The 27,861-nt window shown below is 34.9% G+C and overlaps 1 protein-coding gene across 3 annotated transcripts, besides 3 other annotated features; it reads right to left on the minus strand.

Moving 5' to 3' along the window:
- Nucleotides 1-218: 218 nt before the first annotated feature.
- Nucleotides 219-26,663, minus strand: ESD (esterase D). 3 transcript variants are annotated; one of them, XM_011534954.2, is made up of 10 exons: nt 26,565-26,663; nt 22,360-22,407; nt 20,309-20,383; nt 15,984-16,072; nt 13,215-13,313; nt 11,630-11,754; nt 10,459-10,578; nt 8,898-8,996; nt 6,419-6,586; nt 219-459 (listed from the first exon to the last, which is right to left on the minus strand). In XM_011534954.2, the coding sequence occupies exons 3-10, from the start codon at nt 20,374-20,376 to the stop codon at nt 379-381; spliced, it is 849 nt and encodes a 282-aa protein (XP_011533256.1). In that variant the 5' UTR covers nt 20,377-20,383; nt 22,360-22,407; nt 26,565-26,663; the 3' UTR covers nt 219-378. The 3 variants fall into 3 exon arrangements, with proteins under 3 accessions (XP_011533256.1, XP_005266335.1, NP_001975.1); XM_005266278.4 differs by lacking the exon at nt 26,565-26,663 and adding an exon at nt 26,187-26,208; NM_001984.2 differs by lacking the exon at nt 26,565-26,663 and adding an exon at nt 26,068-26,124.
- Nucleotides 25,259-25,860: an enhancer, noted in NCBI's record as "H3K27ac hESC enhancer chr13:47370431-47371032 (GRCh37/hg19 assembly coordinates)". NCBI's record gives its function as "activates a minimal SCP1, AML or CMV promoter by ChIP-STARR-seq in primed H9 embryonic stem cells {active_cell/tissue: H9 hESC(primed)}" and the evidence as "EXISTENCE:reporter gene assay evidence [ECO:0000049][PMID:30033119]".
- Nucleotides 25,632-25,681: a silencer, noted in NCBI's record as "silent region_5327". NCBI's record gives its function as "represses an Ori minimal core promoter by ATAC-STARR-seq in GM12878 lymphoblastoid cells {active_cell/tissue: GM12878}" and the evidence as "EXISTENCE:reporter gene assay evidence [ECO:0000049][PMID:35858748]".
- Nucleotides 25,992-26,041: an enhancer, noted in NCBI's record as "active region_7713". NCBI's record gives its function as "activates an Ori minimal core promoter by ATAC-STARR-seq in GM12878 lymphoblastoid cells {active_cell/tissue: GM12878}" and the evidence as "EXISTENCE:reporter gene assay evidence [ECO:0000049][PMID:35858748]".
- Nucleotides 26,664-27,861: the final 1,198 nt, after the last annotated feature.

Here is a 27,861-nt window from a genome sequence, read left to right on the forward strand (position 1 = left end):
TGTCTTCAGAGGCTTAAAGTCTGGAAAGGTGAGGAGTCTGGGCTAAATTACTTTTAAGTCTTCTGTTCCAGAGTTGCTACTCTATACTTCAAATAGGATTACATTCATATTCTATGACCTGGGATTAATACAAGAATTTCCAAACGACACTGAAAAAGCTATAGAGCATTAAAGATTTCCTATGTGAACACTTGTAAAATAACTTTTAAAATCAGAAGTAGGTTTTATATCTTTATTCAGAGGTGATTCAACTATAGAATAAAGCCCTTTTAGCACTATAAAATCCAATGTTTTGAATTTTTTTTTTTTTTGCTCAGCAATACAGTTGCATTTTACAACTTTTATAATCCTGAAGAGATTCTCTTATTTGGAGTTTTTTCATGCATTCAGGTATTTAGCATGATGTCTGATGTGGTCAGTAATAAAGGTTGCAATGAAGTAGTAGCTATGATCATAACCCTAGAAGATAAAGAGATGATAAGACATTTATCTACCATTCAGGAACATCAGTATTAGGAACATTAAATATATCTCTAAGGTCGTTTAATTTGCTTACAAATAGTCATAACATTAAGGAAGTATGAGGAAGGTTTATAATAAAATCAAGGTTGTCATCCTTGTACTTTAACATTTTCACTGTACATTAAAAGAGCAGCAAAAATGTGAAGGAAAACTAAACATTCTGCCTAGCTTCTAAACATAGCCTAACTTCTAAATGCTGCCATTAATATGTAAAGAGTGGAAGTAACACATTAATTAAATATGCAGAGTAGACATGTCATATCAACACTGTAGAGTGCATTAAATATGCAGAGTAGACACTGTCATTGAAAATGACACTATCAATTGACAGTGTCAGTTGATATGACACTGTCATATCAACCAAGATGAAAAGAATCAGGATTTAGAGATCTTAGAAACATGGGCAAGACATTTCAATTCACAAATGCAGCACATCAGTAAGACAGTGACTATTAAAACACAAAATAAGCACACAAACAATATAGAAAAAGAACATAAAAATGCCCAAATGTTCTATCATTGTTGGGAAGTCAAACACAGCCATCATAAATCCTGTTAACAATTCCTCCTACACAGTAAAAGCATGTTGTATCTTTATGTGAGGGGAAATATGTCATTAAGGCCTGACATCCCTTAGCAAATTAGGTAAAAAGTCAGTAATCCTTTGGAAAACTAACATGAAACAGAGAAAAATGCAATGTGCTAAGCAGTTAAGTTGAAAGAGATTTCTATCTATCCAGTCATTTAAAACCATTGTTGTAGGTAAATGGAGAAATAATCCCTTTCTGCTGACTCTGACACTTCTTCTGAATATAAAAAATAGTCTTCCAAAAAAAAAATAATTACAATAAGGTATTAACGCATTTTCCTTCTTTTTTTGTTGTTCAACTTTTAAGTTCAGGAGTACATGTGCTGGATATGCAGTTACATAAGTAAACGTGTGCCATGGTGGTTTGCTGCTCAGATCAAGCCATCACCTAGGTATTAAGCCGAGCATCCATCAGCTGTTCTTCCTGATGCTTTCCCCAACTCCCATCGCCCTTTGGCAGGCCCCAGTGTGGGTTGTTCCCCTCCATATATCCATGTGTTCTCACCATTCAGCTCCTGCTTATAAGTGAGAGCATGTGGTGTTTGGTCTTTTTTTTTTTTGAGACGGAGTCTCACTCTGTCACCCATGCTGGAGTGCATGATCTTGGCTCACTGCAACCTCCACATCCCGGGTTCAAGCGATTCTCCTGCCTCAGCCTCCCGACTAGCTGGGACTACAGGTGCATGCCACCATGCCCAGCTAATTTTTTGTATTTTTAGTAGAGACGGGGTTTCGCCATGTTAGCCAGGATGGTCTCGATCTCCTGACCTTGTGATCCGTCCACCTTAGCCTCCCAAAGTGCTGGGATTACAGGCGTGAGCCACTGCGCCTGGCCTGGTGTTTGGTTTTCTATTCCTGCATTAGTTTGTTGAGGATAATGGCTTCCAACTCCATCCATGTCCCTGCAAAGGACATGATCTCATTCCTTTTTATGGCTGTACAGTATTCCATGGTGCATATGTACCACATTTTCTTTATTTAGTCTATCACCGATGGGTACTTGGGTTGATTCCATGTCTTTGCTATTGAATAGTATTGAATAGTACTGTAGTGAACATATGTGTGCTTGTATCTTTATAACAGAATGATTTATATTCCTTTGGGTATACACCTAGTAATAGGATTGCTGGGTCAAATGGCATTTCTGCCTCTAGGTCTGCGGAATCACCACACTATCTTCTACAATGGTTAAACTAATTTACACTCCAGGTGGGAAGAACTTTCTAAGGGTATCAAACACCAGATAATTTATCCCTATCTACAATTAAAATACAAGGTTGAATAAACCGAAAGAAATGAAAGTCTAACAAAGATTTTGTTTTTCCCATTTTGAACTAGTGAATGGTCACTGATGGGAAAAGATGGGAATTTTTCTAAGCACCTAAGAAATAAAAATAGAGCTAATAAAAATATCACTGACGCTTCAGAGAACAAGGAAATCCCCAAGGTTTTGATGAATCAGTAAATGTTCTCAATCTCTCCCTTCCAGAGAGGTATTAAATGTTTATCTTGGGAACAGCTGTTAATAAAAAGTTCTAGTTTAAGGTCAAGGTAACTTAAGTCTTCTAAAGCAATCTGTCTTCTATCATGGAAGTGAATGTGACAGGAATGTTGTCAAGATTAAAGCTGAGCCTCGGAATTACTTGGTGTCATGTCTCTCAATGATTAGACTAGTCCCAGCTGGCTAGTTGAATTTAGAGCTAAATTACAGTTTCCTATATAAAGAAAGAAATGTAAAGAAAAACATTTTCCATCCATATAATTCTTGAATTGTTAAGAAGTTAAACAGGCCTGGAGTTTTAGGCCACCAAACCTGTAAAATGTACCAAGTATTATCTGCCATTTTTCACAGATCAAAAGATGGATCTGATAGAAAATGGGTACAGATGCAGGGAAACAGATATCTCAAAAGACTTGTGTGACCAAGTTCCAATGTGACTGAGTATGCCATATTTTTATCCTTAGTTTCTTGTGTGTTAAGAGCCATCAGACACATATGAATAGCCATCATTATTATTAGAGAAGTCCCAAGGTAAACCCAGGAATATATTGCAAGACAAGACATCTAAAATCCAAAACAAATGACCATAAGTTCCATAATGATAAAGATTCACCTATATGAGAAAGAAGAAAATGCCTGCCATTGAGGGCCCAAGAATTTTAAAAAATGTCAACAAAAAGGCAATAGAATACATTTGAACAATTGGTATCCTGCTGAAGTTACACAATTCGAGCTAATTGTATCATCCCTGACGAGGGTTTCTATTTATCAGTCTTATTAAATGGGGATGGCTTCTTTAATTAAATTCTTTGATGAATGAGTTGGTATGATATGTTAAGCAGCTTGTGCAAATGCCTATGTTTAGTGACACTTGAAGGGGACTTTTCTCCTCTACCTCACACTTTAAATGGAAAATCCTTGGTAGCAAAACTCTTGACTCCTGGAGTATAAAAATAAATGAACACCTTTCATTCTTTCATTCTTCACTCAGCTCTCAAAAAGGGAGCAGTGCTCCAGCAGCTATGATGGATGTTTATCCTAACAGGCAGTGTTTTCTTATATATTTTCCAGACCCAATTAGAAAAGCTTGGATAAGAATCCCCAGGTTATTAAATCTCTTCAGTGTATAAGGAGGAAGACTTTGCACTGTATTCATTTAACAAGTATTGAGAGTCTCTGTGCTAGATACCTATGCTAAATAAGCATGGGATACAGAGATGAATGAGAGAGCTCTACATTTCTGGGATTCTCTGCCATGTTCTTACTCTTCTCTAGCAGGCAGATGCAGAGGCTAAAACAGCCTCTCAATCTTCAAAAAGGTCCTGAGACTTAAGGAGGTAGTATAGCCTCTCCTTCTATTCCACAAAAAGAGATTACTATTTCTGGAAACTTCTTCACAGTATTAGGTCACTAAATTTTTTTTTCTCACTGTGTAACTCCAATAACTAAAGATAAGACATACTAGGCCCTTCTTTTTCAGACTAAGATTTGATCTCTGTACACTAGATATCAGAATTCTGCTACCTAGTATTTTTTTTTCAATTTAGATTCCCTGAAGCCAAAATAGAAAAAGAAAAAATTATATAAAATAATAACCAAATAAATATCCCCGATGCACTAACCCCTCTCTCTAAAAAATTTTTTTTGACATTCGACAGAGTATAAATATAAATTGTGAGCATTTAACACCATTAAAAAGAGGTAAAAGAATGAAGTTGAGTAAATCATGTGCATGATTGTAATTATTTTCTTTATTCTTTCTCAGATCGTTTATTTATATATATCCCCTATTATTTTCAGCTTATTTTTTACAGCTTCTATCCCACAAGGAAATACAGTTATACTATACTTGTAATCAAATGATAAAGCAGGTGATAAAACTCGCAGACCCAGGGTAATCTTGGGTCAAAGCTGGCAAGAAAATCTGAAAGCAGACTCTCTGGAGCCACTACTTAGGCATGCTCATTCAGTTGTTGATTCAATTACAACGAATCTCAACGAAATCCGCTTCAAGCTATGTAGTCCACTCTTAACCCGACCATGCTGGAAGTAAAGTGAATAGAAAATTGCACCTGAGCTCAACATTGTGACTCTGGTGCTTTGAATACTTTCTTACTTTTTTAGAAGAATTGAATGGTTTGTCTTGACTCCTCATTAAGTATAGCCAACTATGTGTTCTAGTTGCTTGGGATACAGGCATTTTAGAAACAAATAAGTGGACTTATTTTTCCCTCCAGGAATGTCATCATGTTCTAACTGTGCTGTTTTTATAACAAACTTGAGATTTTCAGACTTTGTTGGCAGGCAGAATCATTGTAGAAACAACAGAAATTTTGGGCCCAGTCTTTGGGGAAGCAAATGAGGTATCCAACATGGGTAGTGCCAAGAAATTAAGGTCATTTGGAAAAAACATGGTTTGGTACGCACTTATAGCTATAGTTATTGCAGTTAAACGTATTACTATATTTATAGTCAAATTGGTATTTGGATTTCTCAAGGCTGGTTGTTGACCTAAAATTTAATTGTGATGGTAAATGTTCAAATAAATCTAAAACAAAATTCTATTACTCAAGGATGGACACTAAGAGACAAACAGTATATCATGTATTAGTTTTTGACATTTTCTCACTATATAGTTCACATGTGCAAAATATCCCTAAAAACAGGAAGACTGCTCAGATCTTCTGCATAAGTTACGTAGGCAGCAAGCTATGCACAATTTCTCCTTGTGCTAGCTCTAATTCCATTCCTTTGCTCCTCAGGAGAATATCATGCCGTCTGAAAATGGCTTGATAAATGACAGGAGGTCAGTATTTGCAGTTAAATGGCCTTAGTTCCAGTTCTGGTTCCACCACTTACTAGCTATGTGGCCTTAGATAAGTAGGTTACTTCTCTGAGCCTGTCTCCTCATTTGTAAAACAGATGGATAGGAAAGAAATGATATCTCATTTGGCGGTATAAGAATTAACAATGAGTTAATGCTGTGAAAGCATTTTACAAACTAATGTACCACATTACACACTGATCTAGATTTGAACATTTACCATCGTAATTACATTTTAGATCAATGTGCCTGACACATTATCCTTAAACATGGATAAAAATTTATTTAAAAATCATGACCATGTATAATTTTCAGTGCTCATTTTTCACTCTAAAATATTTTAAATTATATTCTGAAGCTTATGAATTTTTCTTAAAAATAAAAGCAGAACTTCCTTAATTAGGACTATGGTAGCATATATAGAGTTAGGTGAGTAGTGGACGGTCAAAAATATTTTAGTTAAAAAAAACTTGCAAGCCCATTGGGATTCAGTAATTATTCTTAAACAACTAGAAATATCAAGTAGCACAATGAATAGATTAATATGAAAGTCAAATAATATAAAGCACATGTGTGATAAATAATACTTAACTTCTGAGGCTAAAATATATACATAAAATAAGGAGTAATTTAGGTAGAAGTTTGTCCTTTTTATTCTACTGCAGCAAAGGTCCATGTGTAAAGAAAGAAGTATCTGCTAATGCTGAAGATTAATCATCATTCAAGCATTAAAAATCTTGTTATTTACTGGTTTGATGGAAAACAATATTTTTCACTGCCAAAAGCTTTCCTATTTCTATCAAATTTAGTGTTAGATATAATTAATTTTATAGGCAGGTTTTCACTTCAAGTGTCTGAATATAATTAAAAACTTACTAGAAGTAGCATTTTATATTCTAAAATAAAGTTAAGAAAATATCACAGAATCCTAATTTTTCATAGTTACATTATCTAGATCAAGCTAAAGTTTCCTAATACTTGCCTCTTGCAATCGAAAAACAACGGGGATTTTCTTTTCTGTACAGGCAGCTATGAAGTTATCAGGGAGTAACTGTCCATCTAAAAGAAACTGGTCATCTTTCCCTTGATCAATTAGTATGTCCAGCTGAGATCCTGGATAGGATTTCACAAGGTGGGTAGCATCATAAGCCTGTAAAAAGAGAAGTAACATTGAAAAATAAATTCAAAGATACTCTTCAGGATATACTATACTAGTACCAAACAGAAATTTAAAGTTATTTAAGCTCTTAGGCTGATTAAATCAGAAATATGCTTTTAAGTTGGTTCAAAATCTGACTTGCCAGGCTTTTATTTACAAGGTCTTCGGAATTCTATTTTCTAATAATAGTCTCTTCCCTACTTTCAAGCAGTCCTAGACTAGTGGCAAGAATCCCATATCTCAGGGATTCTTAAGAAAATGGCCTTTTTCCTTCTAAACCTTTAATATTCTTAATCTCCTCTTGGCTCCAGCAAGAACATGATTTTTTTTCCTTTGTAACTCCTTCCACAAATTGGAAACTAGAAGCTTCTTCTAACTCCATGATCTTTTTCCAAATATTCTCTATTTCAGATAATCTTTTTTTTTATGTCTCTTCTTTATGGCTGTAATTCCAGACATAAACACATTCAGCCTTCTTTTTTGCTGTTGAACAGCACCAAACCTCTGCTATCTACATAAGCTTTCAGAAACACCTGGTGTGAATCATCTGAATCATATCAACATCATCTCAAATTTATTCTCTGAGGAGCTGCCACTAGTTACAATTTTATGTTTTATCATCCACCTCGAAATATTCTTATTCATATATATTCATTAACCACAACTTTATACATTGACCAAGACAAACAACCACGAAAAGATTTGTCCTCTAAGTATCCTGCTTTTGAAGGTTCTATTTCCTTTCATCTTAGAGTGGGAGAGGACCTATAAAGTCTGACTAGTTAGTTCTAAATTCTATGATTTCATAATTCTACATGGTTTCCTGATTTCAATCGTAAATTAAATAATACCCTAAATACAACATAATTAAGACAGTAAAATCTACTGTCACTTGGAGAAAAGTACATATCTAGATTCCTTTTTAGGTTACCTGTACCTCTACCTCTCACCTTCACCCTCCAATTAGTTGGTCTTTTACCCAATTCTTCTATTAGACCATAAGCCCCTGGTGGATGTGAAAGGGTCACCATTTTCGTGACAAAACAGCTCAGAACCTAGCATAGACTTTGCACCAGATGAAGACTCAAAACACTGATGTACATGCAATGTCAGTTCTCAAAGGACCTAATCCTAAATCATTTCTAGCATTCTTCAAACATAGTAAAAATTCAAGCCTAAACAAAACTGTAATCTAGTTACTAAAGGATGAACCCTTTAATTAGTTAGAATTTCAGTAATCATCCTTAAATAAAATGTGTTGGAATTTCAATAATCATCCTTACATAAAATAGGGGTTCATGTAGGAATGAACCCTGAACACAGAACTATACTTTAAATACTTTAAGACAAAGAAGTTGCATTTTTTACCCATTCAAGTATTTTCTGCTTGTTAACAATACACATCATGATGAGTTCATTTGCAAAGTATTCAAACTCTTGGCAGAGTTTGTAAATGGCCCATTTCTGCACAAGAGTAACATGGCTCTCAGGAAAAAGGGTCATTTTTATTTCCACTTGAAAGCACCTGTTTGCATGCTTGAAAAAGCAATCTTGCTGTGGGAATATTCACATAAATGTACATAACAGAATATCTATTTTTAAAGACTCGTGTCTGGAATTTAAAATCGAGATCTGAAATGCTAAATTTTGAAAACAAAGTAATTTAAAAAGCCAGGCTTCTTTGCTTCTATTACACAACTGAGCACATAGTTAATAAGAGGCAAGTCTAAATTTAGTAACACAGGTTGAACATCCCTAATCCAAAAATCCAAAATCAGAAATGCTCCAAAATCTGAAACGTTTTGAGTACCCACATGACGCTTAAAGGTAATGCTCCAAGGAAATACCCATTGTAGCATTTTGAATTTTTAGATTAGGGATGCTCAACCTGTAATATATGGTATTTTTAGATTAGGGATGCTCAACCTGTAATATGTGGTATTTTTTGGTTAATTTAGAAGTGATGTTAATTTAGAAATAAAAATATAAATTAACCATTAGTAGAAAAAAAATATAGCCCCAGAATATCTGCCATGATTCAATACAATTAGAAAGTAGGGTTTTTTGTTGATTTATATATATATATATATAAAATAATATATATAATAATATATATAAAATAATATATATAATAATATATATCTCATATATTGATATATATATCGATATATATATATCTTTTGCTAATTTGTCTCAGCTCTAGAGCCCTAACATGAGCAGGGTAGGAATATAATATATGTCCAACCTTTTAAACAAACTTGAAACTTAAGAATGAGTATTAAGACAGCCATTCAGTACCTACCTTCCATTTACTTTGATCTGTTCCCAAATATCCACTAAAGGCTTTTTTGCCCCAGGGACAGAGTACAGGGTTGCAAATTGGAGCAAATGCTGACACAGACTTCAGAAACAAAAGAAATTTAAAAACAAGTTATATTTTGCTAAATTAAATATGAATAGATATTTGCAACTTACTTAAAAATATAGAAGTTACTTGCAACTTGCTTAAAAATTCTGACTTGCCATGAAAACCCTGTGAACAATTTTCCTTTTGATATATTGCTGGCTTAGATTGCAGGCCTTTCCATAATACATCTTTTGTGTATTCTATTAAGAGAGCTAATAAGTATAGTTGCTAAAATAATGCAAAACAATACATTGCAATTTAAGATACAAACAGAAGTCTATGTTCAGCGTTTCTGCTTTTTTAGCACTGAAAATTAATCTATAGTGATATAAAACAGTTCATGCTTACCTTAGTGAACATGTTACTAAATCTGACACATTTCTCTTAAACAGTACCAACAAAGCAGTGAGCAATGCATTTCAATATGACAGAATTTTTAATACAACTCTGTGTTCTATACAATGTTCTTTTTCACTGGATGAGATGCAGAGATGGGATCTCTCAACTTCAGAGTACTCATCAATGTAAATGTTTAGTGGTATCTACTAGCTTTTTTAAAGGACAAAAAAATCAACTAAGTTTGCTTTTCTACCTCAGACATGATAGACTGCCTTAAAAAATGGAAATAAAAGTGCTTACTTAGAAAGCCCACTGTCAGGCCATGAATTAATAAAACTTGATAATAAAGCGTACCAAAAACAAAATATTTGATGCCACAGAAAGAAACTGTTATGAGAAATGTTTTCATTTCTCAGTAGCACACCTAAAATAATCAAGTTCTTCCTAAGAGGAGGAAATGAATTAAACCAATTTTAAGGGCATGAACAGCCCTGTAAATTTAAAGGCAGAAGAAATTTTAAGATGCTAGTTGCTTTAACACTTCCTTATTCAACTCTTGTAACATGCTGTTCTGCACAGTATGACATACTACATATGGTAGTTATTCAAATTTGACTCTGGGAAAGGCTGAGAGTGATGTTTTTTAATCAAGCTGCATTTCAATTTTCATTAGAGGCATTAAGAACACAATTCTTAAGCTTCTACAAATCATATCTTTTACCTCAGAAAATCAAAGTCAACTTTACAAAGACATCCCTGGTAAGAATATAAATGATAGATCCTGCCACTATAACATTAATCAGTAATAATAACCTTTACAGAAAAAAAGTGTGTTCAAAACTATAGTTGGAATAAAAACAATTAAAGGAGAAGCTACATTTTATAATACTTCCAGTAGGCCAATAAGAAAGCACTCTTGCTGAATTCCTATGCGTCTGATTCTGCAGCATACACTCTATGGTCAAATTAAATACCCACCCTTCAAACACCCCAAAGTTCTCAACACTAGAAAAGTTTAGTTCCAATACTAACAATATTGTAATTTTACTCTTTGAAGGTTCCTAATATTATGTTATTCAAGAGAAATATTTATCACTAGAAGTTTAGATAATCTTACTTTGTATTTTCCAGGATTTTTCAAAGCACAGATCAGAGCTCCATGACCTCCCATGGAGTGGCCAAAAATAGACATCCTTTGGGGATCCACTGGAAAATTGGCATTTATGAGTTGGGGAAGCTAGAAAAAATTTAATAGTGTGACAAAAGATATCAAAGAAAATAAGTTCAGACATTTCAAAGTTACAGAAAATAATTACACAATCAATACTGCCAAATCATAGTCTTACAATGGTTTGAACTAGTAACAATGAAAACAAAACAAAACTAAATCCTCAGGCAGACCATGATTATTAATATATCCCTGGAAAATATATGGTACAGACTTCTTAGAAAACACTTTAGGAAGGTGATGCAGAAAGAACCTTTAAAATGCTTTTAAGTTTTGACCTAGTAATTTCACTTTTTGGAATATATTCTAAGGAAAAGTCCTTAGGGAGAAAACATTATGCACAAATATAATCAATGCAGTAATATTTATTAGGGTAAAAACATATACAAAACCATAAGTATTCTATAAGAGGAAAAAGTCAATTATGGCATATGACAGAATATTACACAATTATTAAAATCAGAATAACACTAGAAAATATTTTTATATGTAACTTAAAAAGAAGAAGAAAATAAAAAAGTTTAGAATTACGTGAAAACTAGTCATAGAAACAGTCTGGAACATACCAAAACATAAGTGTTTTGGGGGGGTAACAGAATTATGGGTAATTAAAAACTTACACTATTGTTTCTAAGTTTTTATGATATACATAGTAACAATGAAAATCATATAAAATTCAGAAAATGCATAAGCAGCATACAAATATTATTAATAGAGGTAATGCTTTACCACTTATGTTTTCTAACTAAGCCTTGGCTTATCACTATAAAATACATCCAAATGAACCAGCTGCCAGGCAAATTAAAGGTTTTTTTCATATACCATTTTCTTGGTTATTCTGGGTAGTATAAACAGGTCTCAATATAATGATTATATTCTTTAATTGTACTTAGTGTTAATTTAAATTGCAGTAAATAGAACTATAGTACTAGCAAACTTTGGAATTTTTACTAGTAACTTTTATACCCTAGTTTAAAATCCTCAGGATTGTAAGGACTTTGTGTTCAAAATCAAACTCTTGGCAGTCATCAATTAATAATTACAATACAAATTAAATTACCTCCTCTGTGACATAAGAGTACATTCTGTAGTTGGTTTTCCAAGGATCTTCAGTGGCATCAACATAAAATCCAGCACCAGTGCCAAAGTCCCAGCTCTCATCTTCACCTTTAATATTGCAGCCACCTATCAAGAAACAATCTTGTGGTTTCATCTGCTCTGTAGTAATGGCCCATGTTTAATAACACACTTTCAGATGAATCTGCAAGTCCATTTGCATGGGAACTGTTCACCAAATGTTGTGAGCTCTCTGCCTTTTGGAGCACATGATAGGATTATACTTCCTGCTCCTCTTGCCCTTGAATGGGGCCCTGCGACTCGTTCTGGCCAATGAGGTAAAAAATGACCTTCCAAGCTGGAGTATTCAGCTGCCAAGGTAAGATACACTAACTTTCTTTGTTGATGAAGTTTCTTATGTACTCTGAACATATGTTTCCTTACTCTGGTTTACCTGTCAAAAAGGACTTATATCCTCTTTTTATCTTTCAGAAATGTGTTGTGATCCCTTCCCTGATGACCCTCTCTCACTATCAGCACTTTTTAAATTCTCTTTACACAGGAGTGGGGAGGCAGATGCTTGTGCTCAACTTACTATCTTGAACTGAAAATGTTTTCTAATATGCTTTCCATCACATTTTTCCTATCTATCCAACCTCCACTGGAATTTTCTTATGTTTCTTTTTAACTTGTTACATTTTATTTTATATACTTGCATGTGGTTAAAAAGCCAACCATTGGGATTTTGAATAGAATTACAGTAACACGTAGAGTAATTTGGAGACATGACCTTGTCGTAAGATTCATTTTATCCATCTAGAAACACAGCATTTTCCCATTTATTAAAGTCTTCGTTTATGATAACAAAATTTTAGTTTCCCTTTTATATATCTATTTTCGTATTTTATATTTTTGATATTATTTTGAATTAAATCTGTTGTTATATTTCTAACCAGATATGCATTGTTTTTGTATAATATGGCCTGTGAAAGGAAATATACTACTTGCCAGGCCAGCCATATAACTTCCCTAGTTTTACTGCCATTTAAATTCCATTTCCTGAAACTTCTAGAGTCATAAAACAAGTTTTAACTGTCTGATGCATTGAGTCTCACGTAGTTGATATTTTCATTTCTCTAATGTAAATATTCAAATCATTTATATTAAAACTAATACTTGTTTAACTGTATGGTTGATGTTAACAGAGATGAAAAAAGATGTAATTATCATGCAACAAGACAGTATACCTCTGGAATAGAAAAATAATTTCCTATGCATTACACATTAGTATTTTGACAGTAGTGCCAACATGATATATGAATTGAGTTGCTCAATCTCTGCTTTGAAGTATCTTAATCTGTACAATGGGAATAGCAAAACTATCCTCTTTCATAAAGGCCATGTCATGAGTAAAATTCAATGAGGAAAATGTACAGCATGGTATTTTGGAGTCATGATGCCACTTGAAAGGTTAATAGAGATAACAGCAAAAATATAAAATGAATTGTATAATGTATATATCATACCACTTTATACCAGTCTTAAAGATTTAGATTTTTACAAAGGATATCTAGACCACAAACACTTACGAGGGCTGGTATCTGGAGCAATGACAACAAGACCATGTTCTGAAGCAGACTGATGATAACCAGATTTTGATATAAAATTTTGCTCTGTGCAAGTTAAACCTGAAGATAAAAAATATTGTTATTGGGCACACATGGACATGAAGATGTGCACCATTAATACTGGGGACTATTAGAGCAGGGGGAGACGGAGACGGACAAGGGCTGAAAAACTACCAGTTAGGTACTATGTTCACTACCCGGGTGATGGTATCTTTCATACCCCAAACCTCCATGTCACGCAATACGCTCATATAACAAACCTGCACGTGTACCCCTTTAATCTAAAATAAAAGTTGAAATTATTAAAAATAAATTATCTCATGCTATATTGTGAATGGTTTATAAGCTTTAAACTGTTTATAATACAGGAAAACAAGCTCATTTGGTATTATTATTTTTTTTGCTTTAGAAACAATTTTGAGTAAGACACTAAAATTCACTTTTTCACAAAATTTGTAATAGTATTAACCTAAGAACTGTGTTAGGTTAAGTGATCCCATAACTATCCTTTTAAAATCACTACTAAAGTTTCAATTACTAAAATCCTTTGGACCAGGAGTGTTTGGGAATTCAGAAATTTTCAAACTGTAGAGTGACAATATGGTGCATAAGCCCAATATTAAAACAACCCCAGTGAAGTGTTATCAAATATGCTAATTAAACATCGCACTATTTCTGCACCAAAACATATTCACAGTAAATAAGCAAATACTATGGTCTTCATAATACAAATACTTTTTTTTACATACAGATAGTTCTCAGCAACAAAATTTAGCTTAATCATCTTTGTATTCTTCACTGAACTAAAAAGAGAGTAATGGTGACCATATGCCATCCTTAAATTGAGTTTTAGCCTCAGTTTTTAGAAGTTTCTGTTATTTTTCCTAGCTCCATGCTTTTCAGTCATGATAGAGGAGATGACTTAATTCTTTTACTATAGGTATCTAATACTACAATGATGTGAGAATGGTGAGGAATGAACTAGCAATCGATTTTATTGATCATTTCACCAGTTGAGAGAGATTTGGTTTGTTTATACTTTTTGGCTATTATAATAGTGTGCCATGAACATTCATGTGCAAGTTTCTGTATGGACATGTTTTCAATTCTATTGGGTACACAGCTAATAAAGGGCTGTTTCAATGGTCACCTTCACTTGGGAAAGATACAAATCACTACACATGAACTATCTTTTAAGATTTCAGTTTGGCTGTTTTGATTTCAGCTAATTTCTCTATTTTAGCTATATAATAATTGTGTAATCTTTCTGTCATTGTTTTCCTTAGACTTGCTGGGAAGTAAACCTTCTGAAATTTTTTTGTCACCATTTCTCACGTGCACTGGTCAGGCAATCTTACCTTTACTCAGAAAATCAAGCCTTAATTTCCAAGGTCTATCTGTTCTTCAGCATCTCACTAAGGAAACTGTCCTGTCATTTGATGTAAACAAACAAAAATTCTGTATTTTATACTTGTAAAGCTCAGATATGTCTTGCTAGATTCAATTTTAGTTAAAACTTAGGGCCCTATTATTAGAGTACCTATGACACAATGCCTCAGGGCTTCTGGTTATTATTGTTTAGCCAAGAGATATGACTATAGTACCCCTCACCAGAAACAAAACGCAAAAACAACAGGAGAAAAAACTAAATACAGCTCTGGACTGTGAGTCAGAAAACTTGTTCAACTCCACATTAGCGTGTGACCCTGGACAATATTTAGCTTCACTGGGCCTCATTTTCTTTCTAGGGATTACATGATTTCTAAGATCATTTTTAGCTATACAATATTATATTTTCTAAGACAATTAAATAACTAATTTTGTTGCTCTTGCTTTTAGCAATACCTAATGCTCTTCTAGCAAAATCAGTGCTCTTCATTCAATCACAGAAATGTTTTCTTGAGTTAAAGTCAGATATGCACTTAATCTTTACCCTTTAAGATGAAATATTTATTCTCATTTTCAAAGACTGGTATTTGGGACTTGTCCTTGATGAAACACACATGAGGGAGGATTTGTTAAATCAAAGTTACAGGAACCAATTTGAAGGAAACAAAATTAAAATAGTACTCTGTGACACAATTTAGTTGCTAGGATTCTCTCCTTATGTTTGCTTCTGAAGATGAAGTACCAGCGTCTTGTGAAAGAAAAGTTAGCATAGAGGTTTCAAAACTGCAGGTGTCAAAATCTTACTCTTCACAATCTATTCTACAGTAGTTAATATGAAACACTGATTAAGAGAAGCCTTAGCGTTCTTTTGTGACTTTCCAGATTGTTGTCAGAGAAGCTCTATGGAGTCCAGTTAAAATATTTTAGAGAACACTGTAAGTTATTTGACTTTTTACAATAGCTGGTTTCTAATTAGAGTATCTTGGTGTCCTGATTTCACCTAATATTGTTCTAATGGACTAGTAAAGTCTCTATAAACTCCAGAAATGCTTGGGTAGGTCCAAATTAAGTAAATAAGTTTTCTAAGCCCTTGCTATTGAGTACAGAACTTTACATTCTCTGCTAAATTACTTGGTCTATTAGAAAAATATATGAAATAAATATAATTCAGTAGGTCTGAAATTATTCTGAGGATAAAAGTAACAGAGTAGACTATGACAGGTCCTTAAAGTCTTTCATAAATGGCTCAAAAAGCCTACCAAGTTAAAATAAAAGGGTAAGATAAGCCAGTTAAAAAGAAAATAGAAACGACTTTATAAAACTCAAATGCATAATACTTACCTGAGAGCCAATACAGTGCAGGGCACTTTCCTGTTTCTGCCTTTGGTGGTAAGTAGACAGCAAATTTCATTTTGCAGTTTAGTTCAACACTAGTTTTAACAAAAACAACAACAAAATATTAATGCCCCTCATTAATCAATACAGAAACAAAATAATTATGCACTATATAAAAAGTAAGATATATACTAAAGGTCCAAAATAAGTTATTTAATGTTCAAAATAAGTGGTTCCACTAACATTTAACGAATATACTTGTCCCTTAAAGAAAGAATGTGGTCAATTTAGCATACTGATCTAAACCAACCTGAGCCTATACTTTGCATGGCACTGTCATTCTGGGCAAAATAAGTGAAAAAATAAATGTAATTCATTGTGGCATTTATTAAAAAATAGTTTTTGTTTCTAAAGAAATGTATGAAATGACAAATCATCTTTCATAAAAAAATGAATTCTTGAGATCTTACATATTTGTTCATAGGCACTAAAATGCAACACATCCTTAATTCGCTCTTTCATCACTAATATTTTATCACAATCACTATTAATGCAACTAGAAAAGACAATTTTGATTAAAACCACAGGCGTTTTTCCAGTAAACAGTAATTCATGCAACAGTGATCTCTCATGGGTTTATTTAAAACATCATATAAATGGAAGTAAACTCTTACTACTTCAGAGTAAACACCTATCTTTTTATCAAAGTTATGTAAGTACATAGTTTAAAGTAAACTGTAACTAAATAGTAAATACTTCCACACACTGTTATGAAAAACTAAATATATATAAAAACTAAATATATAAAAAACTCTCCAACCTTCTCATTTTCCATATTCCAGAGATAATTAATTTACCTCTTTTAGTTGATTTTTCTGGTATTTATGTCCCTATCTACATAATATGACTTTATTACTGCTTCTAGATTTTTCAGTTTTTAGTTATTATCTATTGGCTTCCCATTATAGAAGGATTTTAGTTAACTTTCAGCTCCCTGTCTTTGCTCTCTGCATGCCCCTACATTTCTCCTTCCACTATCGTATCACATATAATTTTGGTTAATCAATATTAAGAAGTTATAAATGCTATTCAGAGATAAGCCATGTAGTATATTAGCATTACTTTCCTTTTTCTTTCAGTTTTTTTTGTTTTCATTGAGCTGGTAATTCTCTCCTTTTTGTTACTGGTTATCCTTCCTTGTTAGGAATAGACTCCCACAAAGGCCCCATCATGGGAAGTTTTCTGTATGCTCCTTTCCATTCTCTGCATATTGGTGATTTTCTTTTTCCACATTATTCTAAGCAACTTTTCTTGTTGATGACTGACGGCACAAAAAATTTCTGACATTTGTTTTTAGGTTTTCAACTTTTGTTAGGGAAGCTGAAACATTTACTTTCATTATAATACTATATCAAATCCATATTCAATGCAGGGATATCTGTTATCAATACGTAAAATCAAGAGAACATAATCTTGTTACAGAATGGTTGGTGCCTTAAGACCTTTCTTGCACACTTAAACATTTGTTAAGAGGGTATATTTCATGTTGTTTTGTTATTACAACAAAATTTTTAAAAGAGGACCTTTCTCAAGCAGTTGTGGAATAAATCAGGTCTAAAGTATGTTCAACAGTGGTATGATTAACACTTATGTAAAAGCAAAAAAAAAAAAAAAAAACACAACAGGATTATCAAGCAATCTTCTGAAACCTCTGTCCCTATCATGTCATTAAGATGTTGCTCAATTACCAAAAGAATACAATCTCATGCACAGATATTTGTGTGGTCACTCTGCATGTATCACTAATTCAATACCAAACTCCCCCAACCCTGATTGGTTTCATAAATTTCCTCTCTAATACAGTCAGTTCTATCAATTTCATCTACATTAAAAAAACCCCTTCAGACCAGTACTGCCGAACAGAACTTTCTACAGTGATATTAATAAAAATGTTCTATCTATGTATTGTCCAGTACAACAGCTTCTGGTCATGTGACTACTGAGCACCTGAAATGTGGCTAGTGGGACTGAAGTTTTATTAATTAGCTAATTTGATGTAAATGGCTACATGTAATTACTGGCTACCATCTCCAACTTTTGACCTGCTGCTTTCTAGTTGCTGCCTTAATATAGCTCCACTCATCTGGAAACTCTTTCTCCTCTGATCTGTTTTCTTGGATCTTATGCCTTCAGCTATCTTGCTTTAGTCCCTCATTTTGGTGAAGCATATTATTCAGTTGCTTCCAAAAGTGCATGGGAAATACACTTTGAGACCTTTCATATATGAAAACATCTTCATTCTACTCTCACTTAATTGACAATATGGTTGGACATAGAAGTTATCCTTCAGAATCCTGAAAGCACTGCTGCTCTGCCTTCTTAGTTCTAGTAATACCGTTGAGCTGACCTAAACCTTTGAAAAATTCTTAATCTACTTTCTCTTTTTCTCAATGTTTGAGAATTTTCTTTGTTCCCAACACTCTAAAACTTTACTATGTTGTTGGTGTAGATCTATTTTCATCCATTGTACTAGACAACTTTTTAAATCTGGCAACTTCAGTTCTGGGAATTCTTGAATTATTTATTATTTATATCTATACCTCTATTTCTGTTCTATTTTCCAAAATTCCTAACTTTTAATGTTGGATTTTTGGACTAGTCCTCTAATTTTGTTGTCCTTTCTGATTTATCACTTTTATCTTATTTTACTTTCTAGAATGTTCAACTAACCATTCTATTGAGTTTTGTCATTTCTACTACCAAAATTTAAATGTCTAGGCTTTTTTGTAGTTGAGGATTTTTTTATTTTATGTTTTTTGAGACAGAGTTTCGCTCTTGTCGCCCAGGCTGGAGTGCAGTGGTGCCATCTTAGCTCACTGCAACCTCTGCCTCCCAGGTTCAAGCAATTCTCCTGCCTCAGCCTCCTAAGTAGCTGGGACTACAGGTGTGCATAACCATGCCTGGCTAATTTTTGTACATATATATATATATATATTTTTTTTTTTTCAGTAGAGACAGGGTTTCACCATGTTGGCCAGGTTGGTCTCGAACTCCTGACCTCAGGTGATCTGCCTGCCTTGGCCTCCCAAAGTGTTAGTATTACAGGTGTAAGTCACCACACCTGGCCATGTACTTGAATATTTTTTAATAGCATCCTATGAAGTCAAGAGGTCAATATCTTTTATACTTTGATATGAAGAGAAGTTCATATCAAATTAAAGACTTTATACAAATGTCTAGTGATCTTTAGCTGTCCACTCCTATTTAAGAGAGAAACACTAAAAATCTAGTTGAAAGCACTGTGCCTACAGGTGGAGTTGTCAATCATTGCTTTACTGTAAGGTCTGGTTAGGTTACTTTGTTGGCAAATCTCAGTATCTTGAAATCTCTTCCTTTGGGCTACTCAAACTCCCCACAAAGAAATTCTTCTAAAGGATATAAGACTAAGTCCCCAAATTTTGAAAGCTAGTGGAAGAAACTCAGTGTGCAAACTTTTGCTTAATCTATTTGCAGTATCACAATCCCACTAATTGTGTCTGGTATTCCCCAGTACAAACAGTTTACTTTCTCTAGAGAACTTACCTCCAATCTTTCCCAGAGTTAGGAAGAGGCAGTCCATAAAGCTGGGACACTCTCAGATCTATCTCCTTTTAAAAACAGACTTTCAATTAATCTTTTTTCTAAGCTCAACTTTTATCCTTATTTTCAGGGGTCCCTGGTGCCTCCAATTACTATGGCTTTAAATAAATTGTGTCATTTCTCAGGTTTTCTTGCTTATGTTTAGAATGTAGCTTTCTAGGTTTTACTAAGTCAGGTACTACCTCTCCATTTGTATTCCTGCTTCTAAAATGTTATTCTTAGCTCCTGTCTCCTGCTTCTTTATGCCTTTATAGGTATATGTATGTGTGCGTGTGTGTTTAATCTCTTTACTTAATGCCATGTTAGTCAGAGTTTTGGAGGCAGCGGAAGCAAATGCATGTGTTTAGTGTGCCATCTTTCTCAAAAAGTCCAGGTGTTTTTCCTACACTTAGAGATCCTCAAAGAAAATGTTTTCAGAATTTTTACTGGCAACATAAGCATTTTCATAAAGTTTCAGAAGAGCATCATGTCAAAGCTTGAAGATACTTCTCTGTTAAGGCTCTACCTCACACAATCACATCCACAGTTAATTAAGTCTGGTAGAATTGTCAAATACATAACCACAGAAAGAGAGTAAGCAAGTTTAAAAGTAAAATGAGGTACTATAATATCTAGATAAAGATTGGTTTTAAAATAGAACAAAATAATCCAACAGAATGAGGTATCTAAAATTATATCTTCTTAATAGTTACCTGTCATGTTCAAAAACTTTCTGCAATCCCCCAAAGCACTTGTTGCTGGAAATCTGCTTCAATGCCATTCTTTTCCTATTAGTAAAGAGTAATCTCATTAATTTCCAGAGAATTAGTTACTGAAAAACTTGAAACAAAACTAATTGCCTTCAGATAAATTATCTGAACATACAACTATTTTCTACTTAGAATTTTTTTTTCACATTTTTCTCCAGTAAATAATATTAAGAAACTGATTAACGCTCATACATGCATTTACACTTGTTACTCACTTTTAAAAGCTTTCATACTTTGGTATATCATTACTAATTTATTAACAAGTTTTTTCGTTGTGGTGGACTGCCCCAAATTATTTTTAAAAGAGGCAGAAAATACATAAGTTACCAATTAATTACCTTAGTTTAGAAGATTAAAAATTGTTAATAGTCTGCCTATCAACTGCAACAAAGTAGTCAAGGAATTGGTATGACTGATTATAGTTGATTTTAAAATGGAAGAAAGATGTGATAATGATTTTGGTAATAATAATATGTAACATTACTGAACACTTACGGTGTGATACACATTTTTCTAGACACTAAACCAGATCCAATTACTCATCCCATGAATTTTTAAGAGAAAGTGATATGAAACTTTAAGATCAACATTTATTTCTCCTTTTAAAACAAACCAATAAGTAAAACAAGCCTGTTAACTTCTTTTCTGTCCAACAAATCTTTTGTTTTCATGTAAAAATAATTTTAAACTTACATGTAAAATGACATATTTTATTGCTTTTAATGATAAATACAGGAAAAAAGTTGGAAAACTATCTTTATCATAAATGCCTATTAAGCAAAGGGAAACCACACTGATTCTGACATGTACCTCTCAAAGAAAGATTCCCTTTCTATTCCTAGAAACACTGTATTAGAATATAAGGCAGTAAGTCCTACATATTGAAGAAAAAGCTTTAGATATCAGGAACAGGTATTACCACCCTGGTGATCTTCTCAGAGAAATGCACTACTACATGCTAATCAGCTGGAGCTTTAGGATTACTCTTTCAAAGATGTATAACAATAATCTTAAAAAGCTAATTTTGGAAATGTCTTTATAAAATACTTTAAAAAATTAGTTTCAATCTTATCTCTAATTTCTTCAATAAACCCAAATAGTTTTATTTTGGAAGACTGGGATTTGAACCCAGAAGTCTGACATCAGAAGCCCTACTCTTAACTGCTATGCTGTCCTGACTCTCTAGAGGTTCTTTAAATACTCATTTTTTAAGACACTTTAAGATAACTGATTCTATAGAATTATGATATTACAACTGTACACAAAGAAATTACCATCTGCTCAGTTTTATGCTTTTAATCTATAAAAGATTAATTCTTAAACAATAAACTCCCATGAGATGTTATTAGTTACTGAATATTAACTTTAGCTACTGTTAACAATCCTATCTTAAATAATGAACTTATAGAGAGAGATACTAATTTTAATATATTAATACATATATATGAGACCAACAAATAAAATTTATTTGCTCCATTATTCCACAAGGAAACCAGATTTTCTTAAACTTAGAAAGGACTATATCCACTTTGCAAAAGATGGTACACTGAGCACGTATCTGGTACATAGGAGTCTGTATCTTTGCTATTCGTCTATTTTAATAAACCTCAAGTTGTCAGTTTTCTCTGCTCTTAAAATTCAAAATCAAATGCTTTTCATTTGGCCAGAAGAAACAAGATTAAAACACTTTTTAAAAGTTGGTAGAATATTTTTTAAAAAACAAAGCTTTTAAAGTATTTTTTCTACCCACCATTTTAGAAACTATCTTTAATTACAAATCAAAAAAATATGTTAGGCTTAACAAGAAATATGACATAAACTAAGAACTAGATATGACATACTGTGATATACTATGATATCTGATACATTATAATAGGTGGTTATATTTTTCAATAGAATTTTTCTATGTGAAAAATAGCACGTTTTAAAACAAGCTATTAGTGGTATTTTCATTCAATGTTCAGAGTAACATATAAACAATAAAACAAGTTTACCTGTCCAATTGCTGATTGCTTTTTGCTTGCACCAAATGGTAGGCGATTCTGAAAAAAACACCAATGGTTTACAAATGGGATATACTTTTCACAGCAAAGGTTATACAGAGCTTTTATATGCATATGCATTCTCAATAGAGATGTTTTCTTCTTTTGAGGTAAATGACTGTACACCCTGATGGGATACCACATCACCACTTAATTACCTTAATTGCCCATAATCTAATTATTTGCCACAGGCCACCTTAATACCTATTTTGCCATAAAGCTTGTTGGTACTTGGTCAAAACCATCTGCTGAAGTAAAAGTACTATGAAAGTTTTTTATCTTTTTAAATCAATAAACAAAGTTTTCAAGTGTAATTTCGAAGCATGAGATGTAGTCAACTCCTGAGTGAAGAAAATAAGAGTGGGGACTAGGTAAGTAGAGGAAGATGGATCTATCTGGCTCAGTTGTAAGTCGAACTTGTAACATGGGGAGAAAGAAGGGAAGAGATGAGGACTGAAGGACTACTACTAGGGTGACTAGAAAGGATGTATAAGAAAAGTGGGCTTATGAACGATGAAGTGACTGATATTCAGTAAGAAAAATATATATGGAAACTTACATAGTATATATCATGTCACTTATCTGGTAGATTTCATTTAGGCTCTAGAACAAATATATATTTAGGTTCTAGAACAGATTTTGTGGGAGAAATAGGGTGACAGAGTAGGGTGGAATACCAAAAAACCAAACAACACCCTTCCTCCTTCCCCTCCAAAAAACAACAACAACAACAACAACAACAAAAACAGAAAAACAATTTCACAGTGCCAGTGGGAGTTACACAATTTTTCCCAAATGTTAGTGAACATCAACATTCTTTGGAGAAGAAAGGGTCTCTCAGTGCATAATACATCCATTCCCCTAAAGGTCAAACCTTACTGTTCTTCCCTTTATTTTTTATTTTTTGGAGATGGGGTCTTGGCTGTGTGGCCCAGGTTGTAGTACAGTTGCATAATCATGACTCAGTGTAACCTAGAACTCCAAGCTTCAAGTGTTCTCCTACCTCAGCCTCCTGAGCAGCTAGGACTACAGGTGCGTACCACACTGGAATATTTTTTTTTTTAATTTTTTGTAGAGACAGGGCCCTTTACTTATTAAAGTTAAATGTCATCCACCTCCAGAAATCTGAGTTCTATTTTTATCCTTCTTCCCCTGTGTCTCAAGTTTTCCATAAATCTCTACATGTGTTTTTTTGTTCCCATTCTCTCAGATTCCTTGGATTTTGATGTTTCTTCATTTCCAGGATGTCCTATTCCACTGGCTCTTAACAACCTAGACAGGTGTTCCCAAAACCAACAATCTACAGTTCCAATAACTGCTGTTGACCACCACTGTGTTGTTCAAATCCTCTTCTCAGTGAAAACTCAGGATCTGGCTTCTTCCCTTTCACTCTGTCTCCTCCCACCTCCCTTTTCTTTTTTCTTCACACTCTTTCCCTAAACCTCATTCCCTAAATTTCAACTACATTTTCTGGGTGAAATAATCTAAATCTGCATCTCTATAACCAATCTTTCTCAAGCATTAGTACCCATAATGACATTTCTTGCTGGACTCTTCTACCAAGACATGTCACCAGCTATTAAAACTTACCACACCTAAAATTAAGCTTCTGCATCTCACCTTCAAACCATTCCTCTTTTCATTGCCTCTCTTTTTCAGACTCATGCCTGTCTTGCCTAATCTACATTTGAGATGCCTCAAAGTTACCTTCTTTTTGAATTCCCACTGCCATCATCCTAATTATATATAAGAAATTAAAACTTAGCCTCTTCCTTTCTTCCTAATACATCCCACTACGATCAATCCTGCATGAAAGCCTAGGGTTTTAATCCACTTAATTTACTGGTCAACGGATCCCTACCAACAGCTCATCTGCAGCCTAATACGGCCTACGTGGAATTGTTAGTCATTTTTATTTAGTATTTTAAAAACTGTGATAAAAACACATACATAATATTTACTATCTTAACCATTCCTAAGTGTGTATTTCAGTAGTGTTAAGTATCCATTAGTCATATGTAAAAACGCAGTTCGCCAGCTCACAATAATGAGCAGATGAGAACTGCCTCATCACCCCCTGGCTGCTGCAGGTGGAGACTACTAATCCCTTTCGCTGTTAGGCCAGTCGCTGAGAACCAGAAAGTCACTGAAATGGAAGACCATGTTAATTGTACAATTTTCTTCAAGTTTAATGCCATTAAAATTTCATAAAATTAAAACCATGCAGGATCACTGAAAAAATAGATGAATAAAACTCCATATAAACTTCAGTCACACTCTACCTGTGTGCAAACACAGTCTTTTTTTTCTTCTTTTTTTTTTTTTTGAGACAGGGTCAAACTCTGTGGCCCAGATTGGAGTGCAGTGGCCTGATCTCGGCTCACTGCAATCATCTCGGCCCCCGGGCTCAGGTGATCCTCCCGCCTCAGCCTCTGGAGTAGTTGGGACCACAGGTGGCACCACCATGCCCAGGTAATTTTTTGTAGAGGAGGTTTTGCCATGCTGCCTAGGCTGGGTCTCTTTTCCTTCATAAAAATTCACATGGCTTGCCTAGGTAAGGATTTCTATTAAACTCTGGGGAAAATTTTTTAAAAAAAATATAGCATCTATAAACGCCAAACACCTTCACATGGCTCTAAATATGGTCTATAATTTGGTCCCAGATTATTTTTCTGGTCTCACTCCCTATTTTGTTAGTTAAACTCAACTATGCATAATTCTAGGATGGCCTGGATGTTGCTATCGGGTGGCTTTACTCAATGCCACGGTACAATGGTTTCAGAGCAGGTTTTGGGGCCAGACCCTCCGGGTTCAAACCCTGACTTCACCACTTATTACTACATGACACTGGGCAAGCTAATCTATGCCTCATTTGCCCATCTGCAAAATGGGTATACAGTAATATATATCAATTTGATAGGGTTGCTCTGGGAATTAAATGAGTTAATTCACGTAGTGCTTAAAATGCTGCTTCTACCACACACACAAACATGAGCTATTATTTTTCCTGCAACCTGAATGCCCTCTCCTTCCAGGTGCGCTCAATCCCATTTCCCTAATGACCCCATCAGAAATGACTTCCAGTCCCCCACAGCGCTCTGAGAGCATTTTACGACCCGAACAGATTTTGTCAAACTCCAAAGACACGTGCTCCCCTCGGCACCATCAGGTGAGTGCTCCTGACCGCGCCATTGGCTCGTGCCCCGACGCGGACGCTGCCTAGAGCAGCAGGTCCACACTCCCCCGAACCAGGCGCCGGCGGCCGCTAGTAACGCGTTGAGGCCAGCTCCCTCCTTAAAATGCGTACACATCTACTTCACATTTTCGCGCGGTGGCTGCGGGTCTAGGAAAGTCTTTCTGAACAGGAAAAAGCTGTACAAATGTAGCGGGCAGTAGGTAAACGGGCGCTCGCCCCGGGTTACACTAGGTTGGAGGCTCAGAGAAGGAAAAGGGATTAGAGGCGAGGCTCCGGGTCACGGGAAAAGGTCCTTGGCCTCCTGTCATGGATGGTGGCGCCCAAGGCCCAGGGTCGCCGTCTCTGCGCTCGTGCCTGCGGATACCTGCACCGCAGGACTCGGCGTCCGCCCCGATCACGCCTAGCCGTGCCGCAGCCGCAGGAAGGCTGACAACGTCCAGGCCTCTACCCGAACCCAGTCTTACCTACGGTGGCGGAGTGACCAGAAGAAGCGGGCCGAAGTAAAAGGCGGGGCTCAAGATGGCCGCCGGGGCCTCGCCTCAGCCCCGCCCATATGATGCCCCGCCCCTCCGGTCCCACTCACTCTCGCTTTTAACTCCGAGAACCCGCTCTTCTCCAGTTCAGTCTCCATGGCCCCGCCGCCTTTGCACATTGCACTTCCCGGCAGCCTCCGCGTGGGCGCCCCCTCCAACTCCTGCCTTCGCCCGCGTTTCTGCTCTGTGTGGTTACTAGGACCAACGAGGAGGGCGTTAGGTTAGTCCCTGTCACCTTGTCGGGGATCAGTCTGCTGTGCGTGCTCAGACTCTTCCCAGAGCCAGCAGCAAGAACCCGAGGCATTAATAAACTTGAGATGTAGCTTCGCTTAACTCGTGCAGAGGGTTTCCGTGTCACTTATGTAGAAACTAGGGCCTAATTTCAACTCCCTCAACTCCTCTGTCCCAAGACTATCCACGTCACCTACTTGGTAGCTTGAGTTAAACAAGAAACCTTTGAAATCTCCAGTGGCCGACACGCAGTGGGAACTCCATCAGTTTTCTGTTTTCTCCCTTCTTCCCTCAATAAAAATTAAGTTGAACTGACTAAGATTTGCTAGTTGATAATTTACAGCAAATCTTTCCTTTTGGTCTCTCTGATTTAAGCAAACTGTTGAGTGTACTTTGCCTCTTGAGAAATTAAATCTGATTACAACAGAGCTAAGTATTTTTCAGCAACGGTTAGACTGACATTGTAAATACACAATCTGATAGTTGGGGCTGGCCTCATGGGCCTGCAACCTGTGCTATTACCCGGCCCCCAGAACAGAAGGACGCTACATTTTCTCTCAGTAAGTGTTGAACCAGGGCCCCACGTTTGTGTCTGGAATTGGGCCCTGCAAATTGTGTAGCTATGGGAGCTGACTTAAGTATGGATGAGCTGCCACACAAGAGATTACCTGCCAGAATCTATTGTGTGGCTCAGGCCCATTTTGCCATAGTGATCTTTGGACTAAATTAACCTGTGGACTGAACCTGTGGATCAATTGGAACTTAGACTGAAAATAATGTTTCATCAAAATAATGTTTTTATTTTGAGAAAGCATTGAAGTAAATTGTTTTAAACTTTCTTTTTACTATCTTTAAGTATAAATCATTGAAAAGGGGATTTTCTTCAGTTTCAAAACTGAAACAGAATAAATACCTAAATTGCAAGTTCTTTATAACTGATGTTTGAACAAAGAGAAATAATTGATTAAATGATATATTTGCCTAATAAGTGGACTGCTGTGAGGTGCAGACTAGCCAAAGAACTGTAAGTGTGAAGTTCTTTACTAAAGGGTTCTTGTGTGAATACAATGTGAGAATAAGCAGAACTAAAATTTCTTTTACCCAGCATAAATAAAATGTTAATAGATCCACAAAAGTCGATTGCTTAAAAATATTAAGAATATATATAATTATCATTATTATTTGGACATGGAAGCAAAGAAGGCTGAAATCAGAAATTAAGGTTGACATTTTAAAAAATGGCACTACCAATAAAAATGGATGAATATTAAGTACACAAAGAAATAGTCCAAAAATTATGTGTAAATGTGTGGCTGAGAGGATATAGGACTCTTGGTTTGAACTAAAATGAGTAGGAATATAATCTTAAGGAGGCAATAAAGGGATGCAATAAAAATGAGAAAAAGTCAAATATACTTGAAGCCTGTAAGAAAAGAGATTGTTTTAGTCAGTTCCAGCTTAACAGAAATTTATTCCTCACCATTCTAAAAGTCT

Source organism: Homo sapiens, chromosome 13 (genome assembly GCF_000001405.40).
Source record: "Homo sapiens chromosome 13, GRCh38.p14 Primary Assembly".
Taxonomy (NCBI): domain Eukaryota; kingdom Metazoa; phylum Chordata; class Mammalia; order Primates; family Hominidae; genus Homo; species Homo sapiens.